Here is a 12113-nt window from a genome sequence, read left to right on the forward strand (position 1 = left end):
TCGAACTCCTGACCTCAAGTGATCCTCCTGCCTCGGCCTCCCAGAGTGCTGGGATTACAGGCATTAGCCACCATGCCTGGCCTAATGGATGAATTTTAAAACTTTAGCATTTCTTTAAGCCTTGCCTTTCACTCACTCAGAAGTGAGAAAGGGGGAATTCTTTTGTCCCCAGAAATGATATATGAGGAAACTGAAAGGTTAAGAGGAAACTTCCATATCATCTGTTTGACATAGCTTCCAAGGATTAAAACATTCAATAAAGTCTGACATCAGCTTCTTGATCAAAATAGTTCAGCAAAGTTTAACATTTTGCTACCTCCCTCTGTGGATACATGCTGTGCTGCAATTAAACAGCTACTTACAGTTGAGAGAAGCAAGACTTTAATGAAGAATGCTACAAGTATGGACAATAATTAGTTCTCACCTTTTAAAAAAAGATTACAGAAAACACTTTACTGAAATTTTTTGCTAAAAAGACAGTCTTTAAGGGTGTCCGGGAGAGACAGCAAGCACAACACAGTACAAAAGGAGAAGGGAATGTTGAATTCCAGTGCAAGACACGAACACAGCACAATTAGGGAATCAGGAGGAAGCAACCATTTCACAAAGAATGAAATTAGGCATTTATATTCAATCGGATTTTTTTTAAGCTTTAAAAGTCCAGCATAAGGAAGGGAATTGGGAAAAGAGGCAGGGGACAGGGGGCAGGGGATCAGGGAACTAATCTTATCTACAATCACCATTTTACCAAAAAACACACTGGTTCAACCACATGAGAAGTGGAGGATTAACCTGCCTACATAGCCCAGCAGATGTTGACAGCAAATGCCAAGGCAGACAGGTCTAGGGTTGATGTCACGACTGGCTAAAGAGTTTTTAAAGGGAATCTTATTCCACAAGGACTGGTCTGTCATCAACCTGGGTTCATAACAGACTAAGTTCCTTTGCATTTGCATCAGAAGGCCAGAACTTGACGTGGAACAAATTTACTCCAAATAATACTCACATTGCTGGTTTTAACAGGTCATGGAGTCACAAGTGGCTCCTAATAGACTTCACCATTTCCTAGGAGAAGGTTCTACAGATTACCAGGGATTTAAATTTAAGCAAACCACTAAAGAAGGGAAACGCTAATGATATTCTGGCACTGCACAAGCTGTGTGCCTGTCATCTCTGCCAAGGACATGGGTGGACTTGGCTCTGCTTCTTAGCTCCATGATCTCCAACAGTGATGAAGTGGAAATGGGACCTCCCCCACGTCGAAGGAGGTTGCCCAAAATTCTCATCCCAGCCCAGCTTCTGAAAGAAACAGCAGATGCCAGGCGCGGTGGCTCATGCCTGTAATCCCAGCACTTTGGGAGGCCGAGTTGGGTGGATCACGAGGTCAGGAGATCGAGACCATCCTGGCTAACACGGTGAAACCCCGTCTCTACTAAAAATACAAAACATTAGCCGGGCGTGATGGCGGGCGCCTGTAGTCCCAGCTACTCGGGAGGCTGAGGCAGGAGAATGGCGTGAGCCCGGGAGACGGAGGTCGCAGTGAGCCGAGATCACGCCACTGCACTCCAGCCTGGGTGACAGAGCGAGACTCTGTCTCAAAAAAAAAAAAAAAAGAAAAAGAAAGAAAGAGCAGACTATCAGGGGCTATTATTAGGAACCATGCTCCTGTGAATTCTGTGGAAATGAAAGCCTGTTTCAGTTCATGCCAAGTCTTTTCATGGTCCGCCAGCGATCCTTAATCATCACAGCTGTTCGGTTAACAAATGGGTAATTTTTAGAAATGGCAGCCCAGTTTCCTTCCCCATATTTCTGCACTCCAGCCTTGACCCACTCGCTTTCTTCTACAGTCCACTTCTGCAAAAGAAAACCAAAAGATTTATTACCACCTTTCCTCTCCACTTACTTACATTTTCTCCAATGTAGTGATAAGGTAAACTCAAGAATCCCAGGAGAATCATCTGAACCTGAAATCACAGCTTATGTTTTTAAACATGGAATGGACAAGATATGAGCACTGTGGATCTGGACACAGGAATTCTTGATGTCCTGCCATTTGATCCTCAAGTAACAATCACTTCTGCATTCCAAACTGCAAACATATCTACATCATTCATGTTCCGGAAAATGTGTCATCTGTTTTCCTAGTCTTTTCTTCCAGAAGATAATTATTACTTTAACTTAGTTTGGATTATCTGAAAATCTCAAAAAAAGGTTTTTACTGGGTACATAACCAGTCTATACCTGTGAGACAGGGCGCGTATTTTACCTCTGCTCTACCCACATAACCAGTAACAGAAAAGAGAATTTTAAATTACCTGCTTTTTTGTTATATTGGTTGTACTGTCTTCATCTGGTGCTGCTGGAAAACATTAAAAGTAGACTCATTTCAGAGTTCACCTTTCTCTGCACAAACCACAAGAAAAAGACATGGAATGTCCCCAAAGGGAAAACTTCTTCAAATTTCACAAGCATTGAGAAGAGAAAGGATATCACTAAAGGATAATTTACTTTTCTCCTTTATTTGCAAACACCAGTCACTTCAGCCTATGAGAACCTGTACAATGCAAGTGCTTTACAAACAGGCATCCGTAAATGCTGGCTAGTGATGCGTTTCAAGCTCTTCAGTAAAATCAACATCGTTTTCTTTTTTTTTTTTTTTTTTTTGAGACGGAGTCTTGCTCCGTTCCCCAGGCTGGAGTGCAGTGGCGCTATCTCGGCTCACTGCAAGCTCCGCCTCCCAGGTTCACCCCATTCTCCTGCCTCAGCCTCCCGAGTGACTACAGGCGCCCGCCACCACGCCCGGCTAATTTTTGTTTGTTTGTTTGTTTGAGAAGGAGTCTCACTCTGTCGCCCAGGCTGGAGTGCAGTGGAGCGATCTCGGCTCACTGCAAGCTCCGCCTCCCAGGCTCACACCATTCTCCTGCCTCAGCCTCCCGAGTAGCTGGGACTACAGGCGCCCACCACTACGCCCGGCTAATTTTTTTGTATTTTTAGTACAGACCGGGTTTCACTGTGTTAACCAGGATGGTCTCCATCTCCCGACCTCATGATCCGCCCATCTCGGCCTTCCAAAGTGCTGGGATTACAGGCATGAGCCACCGTGCCCGGCTAATTTTTGTATTTTTAGTAGAGATAGGGTTTCACTGTGTTAGCCAGGGTGGTATCAATCTCCTGACCTAGTGATCCACCCACCTCGGCCTCCCAAAGTGCTGGGATTCCAGGTGTGAACCACCATGCCTGGCCCCAACATCGTTTTCTAAAATTACTGAGGGAACGTCATATTTAAAACCCTTATGTATATATAATGTCTACATATACATATAGGTATTAGTGTGTGTATGTATATATACAGTCATATGTTGCTTAACAATGGGGATATGTTCTGAGAAATGCATCGTTTGGTGATTTCATCCTTGTGTGACTTACACAAACCTAGATGGTAGAGCCTAGGCTCTAGCCTGCAACTTCTTATCTATGGAGAAAGTATCTGACAACTGCTAACTCATGTCCCCATGTCTAACAACATGGCTTTCTCAACTTTTAAAGGACTAGAGTCATCCACTGGACTTAGGAACCAAAAACATTGGTGCAACTCCAAATAAAAGTAACAAACATGTATTCTTCCACTGCTATAACAGTCCTAATCCCCTTAATCTTACCGATTACTATTAACTTAGCTAACCTCTGCAAAAAAGGAATATGCCTACGATATATGGTGTAGCCTATTTTTCCGCTACAAACCTGTACAGCATGTGACATGCAACTGTGACACAATGGTAAATATTGTGTATCTAAACATATCTAAACAGAGACAAAGTAATGCATTGCACTACAATGTTACAATGCCTATGACATCTACAATGTCACTAGGCGATATGAATTTTTCAGCTCTATATATAACCTAATGGGACCACCGTCACCATATATGCAGTCCATCGTTAACCAAAACTTTGTTATGTGGCACATGACTATAGGTGTGTTTATATGTATAATTTCTGCATTATAACCCCTTGCTAACCACTGCTTTGAAATCACATGGTTTTGGCTGGGTGTGGTGGCTCACGCCTGTAATCCCAGCACTTTGGGAGGCCAAGGCGGGCGGATCACTTGAGGTCAGGAGTTCGAGACTAGTCTGGACAACATGGCAAAACTCCTTCTCTACTAAAAATATGAAAATTAGCTGGGAGTGGTGGCACATACCTATAGTCCCAACTACTCGGGAGGTTGAGGCAGGAGAATCACTTGAACCCAGGAGGTGGAGGTTGCGGTGAGGCAAGATCGCGCCACTGCACCCCAGCCTGGGCAACAGAGCGAGACTCTGTCTCAAAAAAAAAAAAAAAGAAATCATATGGTTTTGCTGTTTTGTACTAAAATTTTCTTTTTTTCTCCTTCATTTTTTAATCTTCCTCTTACTATCATTCCCAATTTTTTTTTTTTTTTTTTTTTTTTTTTTTTTTGCCCAGGCTGGAGTGCAGTGGTGCAATCTCAGCTCACTGCAACCTCCGCCTCCCGGGTTCAAGCTATTCTCCTGCCTCAGCCTCCTGAGTAGCTGGGACTACAGGCGCCTGCCACCACACCCGGCTAATTTCTGTATTTTTAGTAGAGACAGGGTTTCACCATATTGGCCATGCTGGTGTCGAACTTCTGACCTTGTGATCCGCCTGCCTCGGCCTTCAAAAGTGCTGGGATTACAGGCGTGAGCCACCACTCCTGGCCTAAATTTTTTTTGTTTGTATTTTTTGTAGACATGGAGTTTTGCCCTCTTGCCCAAGCTGGTCTCCAACCCCTGAGTTCAAGGAATCCGCCTGCCTCGGCCTCCCAAAGTGCTGGGATTACAGGCATGAGCCACTACGCCCAGCCTAGAATTTTCAAGTCCTTGTTCATTTTATAGAAGTACAATTTGGGTCTGGGCGGTGGCTCACACCTGTAATCCCAACACTTTGGGAGGCTGAGGCGAGCAGATCACTTGAGGTCAGGAGTTTGAGAGCAGCCTGCCCAACATGGTGAAAACCCGACTACTAAAAATACAAAAATTAGCCGGGCGTGGTGCGACACACCTGCAATCCCAGCTACTAAGGAGGCTGAGTCATAAGAATCACTTGAACCTGGAAGGCGGAGGTTGCAGTGAGCCGAGATCGCACCATTGCACTCCAGCCTGGGCAACAAAGTAAGACTGCATCTCAAAAAAAAAAAAGAAAAAAAGAAAACAATTTTGGTAGGGTATGGTATGGTGGCTCACAAGTATAGTCCCAGCACTTTGAGAGGATGAGGCAGACAGATTGCTTGAGCCCAGGAGTTCGAGATCATACTGGCCAACATGGTGAAACCCTGGCTCTACTAAAAATACAAAAAAAGATTAGTTGGGCATGGTGGCAAGGGCCTGTAGTCCCCGATACTCCAGAGGCTAAGGTGGGAGAATTGCTTTAGCCCAGGATGTCACGGCTACAGTGAGCCAAGATCACACCACTGCATTCCACCTTGGATGAGAGTGAGACCCTGTCTCAAAAAAAAAAAAAAAAAAAAAGGATTTATATATAGAAACTGTTAAGATTTTTTTTTCTTTAAACAAGAAATGCAGGGAATGACCCCCTACTACCACATCTAATTGAAGGATTTTAGGAAGAACATCAACTATAATTAAATATCATAGGCGTTATTAAAACAAAACCAAGAACTCTCTTTAAACATAAGGCGTTACTCTGACAGTCTCCATTATTTAATGGGAGAGGACATCAGACTGACTCCTTGACCAGGGCACAGTGACTCACATCTGTAATCCCAGCACTCTGGGAGGCTGAGGTGGGAGGATCGCTTGAGCCCAAGAGTTTGAGACCAGCCTGAGCAACAAAGTGAGACCCCATCTCTACAAAAAGTGAAAAAAACAGCCAGGTGTGGTGGTGCACACCTGCAGTCCCAGCTACTCAGGAGGCTGAGGCAGGAGGATCACTTGAGCCCAGAAGGTTGAAGCTCAGTGAGCCATGTTTACACCACTGCATTCTGGCCTGGGTGACAGAGCAAGACCCTGTCTGAAAAAGGAAAAAAAAAAAAAAACTGATTCTTCATGAATTAAAATGAGATCGGGAACTTACTGAACTTTTTCTAGTTCGGAGACAAGCAGCTTCTGGAATATTAACATGACAGTAACACGCATCTGTACTTCAGCAAGCATCAAGAAGAGGCCAAGGAGAATCTTCTGCTTACCCTGAACTTGAAACAGTTCATCCTCTTCCACCCAAGTCTCCTTTTCTTCAACCCCATTAGAGCTGTTCCACTTGCCTTTGGGTACTCTGAGGGGAGATCAAGGAGAGCACAGGTATAAAACAAATTCACCCTGGATTGTCCCAGATTCTGGTCTTGGCTCACTCTTGGCCCTGTACTCCTTCCTGTCCCGTTGTGACCACAATCGAGGTTCGCCTGCATGCACCTCCCAAAGCCACTGTCCTTTCTCCTGGCTGGCCAGGCATCTCCACGTAACACCCCTCAGGCTGCAGGACACCCTTCAAATTCAGCACTGAGTACATCAAGCACATCACCACCCCTCTAAAGAATCTGTTCATTTTCCTGTTTTGCTTGTTTGGTTTTGACTCTTTTAAAGGTCTCAGTATTTTTCTGATTTAGAACCTGCAAACCCCTCCCTCTCTTCCTTGGACATGCCTTCTTCCTATATCTGGACTGATTTTTCCGTTTCCATTCCCCCTTGTTCAAGCTCACGGCGCCTTTCATCAGTATTCCACTAGCCTCTTAACTAGAGTCTCTGCCGCTAGGCTCTTCCCCTTCCAAAGCCAAAGATGATTTTAGGACAATCACCCTAAAATTACCACATGCCTCTTCTATTCCCTAATGGCTTCTCTCTGCCTGAACAGTGGCATCTATATGCCTGTATGGGGGAGTCCACACCATCCAGTCTGGCCCGTCAGTTTCTAACCAACCGCCCCACGATGCCCACACCTGTGCAAACAGCACAGCCACACTGTTCTGCTCTTTCTTCCTTCCATAAGCTCTGTACTTTCCTGCCTCTCTGTAGCCCCTCTGCTTGGGAGTCCCTTCCCTGCTAAGTGACATCTCATCCATCTTTCAAGGCCATGGTTCTCAGTGAAGCCTCCTCTAACTACCAACCACAACACACACAGAAAGCCTTTCTCCTCCTGCCTGCAGTGCTGTTTCCACCATACCAAGTGCCACTTTGCAGTGTGCCCCTAACCAGGACCGCCTCGAAGGCGGGGGCCACATCTTCCTTTGTCCATCCCAAACACATAGCATACCCAGCACAGTAACACAGACCCCAATGTGAGCTGGAGACATATTAGCTGAACTAACATTGTGATTGTCAGAGAGCCACAAGGGAGTTATACCATCAAAGATTAGAGTAAAAAGCAAACAAGAATCCTTCTTGTGAACATGAAACGTTAAATGCTTGGGTGTGGCTAAAAAAAGTACAAAAGCTGAAAATAACCCCAAACTCAAATTATTCAATGAAAACTATAGCCCATTTCTTCTAATCAACTTTGCATTTACCTGATTAATAACTGCCCTGGGAACAGAGCAAAGCACAGATCTGACCTCAGAATTATAACATCTTTTACAAACATGGAAAGTGTCTGAATTCAGAGTCTTGAGGAATTTATATAAATCAAATGACCCGCAAAAGTTAACCAAGAATAGAGACAAATTTCTGTATTCTTCACCCGCCATGAAGAAAAAACTTATTTTTAATGCTGTTTGGGTATTTTGCAAATGAATAATAAAAGCAAGTTGATGAATAAGTACATAGGCTTGAAAAAATTCCTTGAGTTCCATAAGTTTTCTATGAAATTACTTAACTAAGTGGCTGAGACAAATGGTAGACCTAACTTTCTCTTGTTTTTACATTGGATCTTATCCCCAAATGTTACTTGAGAATAATTTACTTGAGACAAAGTGAAAACATTTTACAGGAGGTTTTTCCTTCTCAGGATATTCTTGTGTTAATGACTATTCATAAATAAAAATCAGATGGGGTTATAGTTTGTTTTCTATGTGCTTATCCCAGTGCTGGAATAAAACCAGTTGGAACCTCAGTCCCCAGCTGGTCCGTCATGTTCCCTGAGTGGCTGTCCTCCCTCCCTGCACAGTCTTCACAGGTCACCTTCTCCCTGTCCTCTGTTGAACTCTCAGCACTATTACCTGTACAAATACATGCTTTGGTGGTGATTTCGCAAGACCTCTGACTTTCAGGTGATGTGTTCACTGCCTCTCCTGACTTCCCAAGTGGATGGGGCTGAGATCTGGCCGCTCCTCCTAACTGTAATGGGCTGAGTGGTCCTGGCCAAGTCAGGCCACTTCCTGGTCCTTGTGCTCCTGACTGGCAGTTTGAACATGAAGAGCAATGGTCTAGCAAGTGTTGGCAAGCTACAGTCTGGCTGCTGCGGCTTGTGTACCATGAAGCTTGGGGTGAGAATGGCAAGCCCGTTTTTTAAGGGTTGTAACAAAAAAACAAAAAAAGACAGTTGGGAGCAGTGGCTCACGTCTGTAATCCCAGCAGTTTGAGAGGCCCAGGCAGGTGGATCGCTTATTAAGTCCAGGAGTTCGAGACCAGCCTACATGGTCAAACCCCATCTGTACAAAATATACAAAAATTAGCCAGGTGCGGTGGCACGCACCTGTGGTCCCAGTTACTGGGATGGGGGCGGGGATGGTGGCTGAGGTAGGAGAATCGCTTGAACCTGGGAGGCAGAGGTTGCAGTGAGCCGAGATTGTGCCACTGTACTCCAGCCCAGGTGACAGAGCGAGACCCTGTCTCAAGAAAAAAAGAAAAAGAAAAAACAAGAAAAGAATATGGAACAGACAGACAACTCATGTGGCCCAAAATGCCTAAAATGTTACCCTCTGCTGGCTTTTTACAGGTGTTTTGGGTGTCACTCCTTAACATGCAAGAACAAAGAATCCTTATTTTACTTGGTGAATAAATACCTAGTAAACACATGCTATGTGCAAGGTGCCGTGGGAGATACAAGATTGGGGCATGGTGGCCCTGTCCAAGTGACACTGCCAACCCTGCCTTCCCTCCTGATCCCACTGCCCCTCCCTGCTCCCTGGCAGCGGTCTCCAGTCTCCAGCCTCCCTCCCTCCCTTCCCTGAGTGGGGTCTCATCAGGCCTTCCAATTTGTTGTATTAGAATTATCTGGGGCATGGTTTAAAAAGCAGATTAAAGGGCATTCTCCTGACTCTTCTAATTCAGTAGCCAGGAGCCTGGGAATATGTATTTTTTGAGCATTCCACAGGTCATTGTGTCATGAAGCCCAGCTTGAGAGCCTCTGCCTGACACACTAGACTACAGAAATCCCAGGCCTGGCCCATCTAGCATGCAGACTCTCCTACCTTCACTCTTTCCTATGCACCGTATTCTCCTACCATAGGCTCCATGACACTCTGAGGGGCACACCAGGCTTTCTCATGCCTGTATGTAAGGAGCTCCCACTGCGTAGAGTCCCCCAGCCCCCAACACACTCGACGACCTTCTGCTCATCCTTCCCAGGCCAGCTCAATGTTTGTTCCTCTATAAAATCTGAGCCACCTAAAACCTTGCTGAATAGGCTCAGCTTTTCTTCCCATAAGTGGCCAGGGCACCTCACACATACTTCTTTAGAGCAGGGACACTGACCCTTTTTTTCTGTAAAGGGCCAGATAGTATTTTCACTTTGCAAGCCTGTCTCTGCTGTGGCTACTCAACAAACTACCAATGAACAGAAAGCAGCCCTAGATAATACATTGATGATGGGTGTGACTGTGTTCCAATAAAACTTTATTTACAAAAACAGGCAGTAGGCTGATTTGGCCCCAGGGCCACAGCTTGCCAACCCCTGCTGCTTTAGGGGATTCATTAGACTTCATATCCTTGACATATGAGAGAGGGTGTATGTCTGAAACCTTCACAAATCCTCCCATTTACAAAATTACTGTAATCTCGCACTCTCCTGTTTCCTCATCTGTTCCCGGGAGCAATACCTATAGTGCACAGGATTGCTGTGAGAAGCCAATGAGATCCTGTATCAAATGAGAATAACATGCATGGAGCTGCATCCACTGCCCAGCAGCTATGCCCATTTGCCAGCCGGTGACTCACTTCTACATACAAGTAGTGGTGACATAGTGCAAATCTGTGCCTGAGGATAAATCACTTATCAGATGCCACAGCCCTTTGGGGCACCAAGTACAATGCATGCCAGACCACAGGTCCCCAAATAATACAACACAGAGCAGAGGCAGAGGTGGCCTTGGGAGATCCATAAGGTGGATCACTAGTGGTGACCAGGGAGGAGTCTGTGGAGGAGGGAGAAGTTGTTTTTGTTTTTGTTTTTTTGAGACGGAGTCACACTCTGTTGCCCAGCCTGGAGTGCAGTGGTGCAATCTTGGCTCACTGTGCAGCCTCCGCCTCCCGGGTTCCAGTAATTCTCCTGCCTCAGCTTCCCAAGTAGCTGGGACTACAGGCGCCCACCACCACGCCTGGCGAATTTTTGTATTTTTAGTAGAGACGGAGTTTCACCATGTTGGCCAGGCTGCTCTCAAACTCCTGACCTCAGGTAATCTGCCTGCCTCAGCCTCCCAAAGTGCTGGGATTACAGGTGTGAGCCAGCGCACCCAGCCTGAGGAAGGAGAATTGTAAGAGAGGCAACTTGTTGTATATGGTATACAGGCCATGGGCTTTTCTGTCAAGACTGACTTGGATTAAAAATCCAAAGCCCATCTTTGCCACTTTTAGCTGTGTGACTTCAGGTGAGCTAAGAACTTTTCTGAGCCCTTCTCCTCTGTGTAATGGGGCTAATATATCATCACCTCACAGAGTGAGGATTGTAGTGACTCAGTAAGATGATACATGAAAGTGCTCTGCCCCCAGAAAGCACTTCATCAACAACGGCTTTTCTTCCCTTTAAAGGACAAATGGGATTTGGACAAGCAATGATGAAGGGATGACGGTCCACTGTGGGGAATGAGAGGAAGCAAAAGTACAGTGGTAGAAACAAACAACATGTTCCAGAGAGCAAGCAGGCCAGTCTGCCTGGAGGGAGGATCCACCACAGGACACAAAGGGAAGCAAAACTCAAAGCCAGGATGAGAATCACAATGGGGAGCAAAATTAAAGTATTCTAGCCACTGCCCCACAGTACCTAGCAGGACATGGGAGATTAGTAAGTATTCACTGAACTTGCCAAGTCTCAAATGCTCAGAAGGGTGCAAAATTATACATATTCATCAGTCTCTTTTTAAGGGTCAAAGTATAATGTGGCCCAATGCAAACAAATTTCTTTTAACACACAAGACTAATGTTTAGAAGTCAAGACACTCAGATGTTTGCTAAAAATGAAAGCAGCGATGAGTAGGAGGCTCTGAAACCTTTCCATTCCCACTCATGCCCTAGTGCAAGGCTTGGAAGCCCACATGCGGGGCTTCAGAACCGGCAGGGATGGCTACGTCGTCACTGGCCACTCCTGCGTCAAGTTCTAGCAGTCTGAGCAAGCCTTGGTGGTGAGTAACTTAGCTGAAAGTTACTTCATTCACGGAAGTAATACCAGGCCCAACCAGGACCACCAACCAGCCCCAAAATTTCTACAAAGAAGGTCTTCATACTTGGGATTCTTCTCTCCAGGGAGGGGTTGGTTGAGAACGGTGGGCTTGGATGGTGGCGCTGAAGCGGCCTCCTGGGAGGAGTTGAGGCCTGCGCTGGGCTCAGTACTCTGGCTGTCCTCCTCCAAGACCAATCTGCTTATTGTCATGCGCTTGTTCTTGGGCTGCAGTTCCGAGCCACCCTCACCGTCAGCCGGGGCTGAACTTTCGTTTTCATCTTTTCTGGGTCTCTTGTTTTTGAGGGCTGGTGATGCTGGGAGAGCTTGAGTAGGAAGAACCAGATCCTTCTGGTCCAGTTTTGCAAAGGCTGCCTCAGAATCCTGTGCACCAGACAGAGTCTTGAAAGCTGCTTTCAGAGTCATCATTCCAATGGTGGTTGGAGGATTCCGTAGCTGCCTGCAAATCAAGCATAGGCACAAAGATGTTTTTCACCACTGATGATGCTCATCCAAACAGCCACAACTTTTTTGAAGTTTGAAGCTTCAAATTCCAGTTGAGGAGGCTTTAAATGT

At 45.6% G+C, this 12113-nt stretch overlaps 1 protein-coding gene across 6 annotated transcripts in view, besides 1 other annotated feature; it reads right to left on the bottom strand.

Annotated features, from left to right (window-relative positions):
- Positions 1-364: 364 nt before the first annotated feature.
- The window catches only part of TERF2 (telomeric repeat binding factor 2), a 30441-nt gene continuing 18692 nt past the window's right edge, over positions 365-12113 (bottom strand). For 3 of the 6 annotated variants that reach the window (XM_005256124.5, NM_005652.5, XM_005256121.4), the window contains 4 exons: positions 11605-11997; positions 6202-6287; positions 2316-2359; positions 365-1854 (listed from right to left, as the gene is read on the bottom strand). In XM_005256124.5, the coding sequence (XP_005256181.1) occupies positions 1696-1854; positions 2316-2359; positions 6202-6287; positions 11605-11997 (682 nt within the window). In that variant the 3' untranslated portion in view covers positions 365-1695. Of the gene's footprint in view, positions 1855-2315; positions 2404-6201; positions 6288-11604; positions 11998-12113 lie in introns of those variants that run through there. The other 3 variants (XM_005256123.4, XM_005256122.4, XM_047434552.1) reach the window with 2 other exon arrangements.
- Positions 3380-3580: a silencer, noted in NCBI's record as "peak2627 fragment used in MPRA reporter construct". NCBI's record gives its function as "represses an SCP1 promoter by STARR-seq MPRAs in K562 erythroleukemia cells {active_cell/tissue: K562}" and the evidence as "EXISTENCE:reporter gene assay evidence [ECO:0000049][PMID:32103011]".

The sequence above is a fragment of the Homo sapiens genome, chromosome 16 (genome assembly GCF_000001405.40).
Source record: "Homo sapiens chromosome 16, GRCh38.p14 Primary Assembly".
Lineage (NCBI taxonomy): Eukaryota > Metazoa > Chordata > Mammalia > Primates > Hominidae > Homo > Homo sapiens.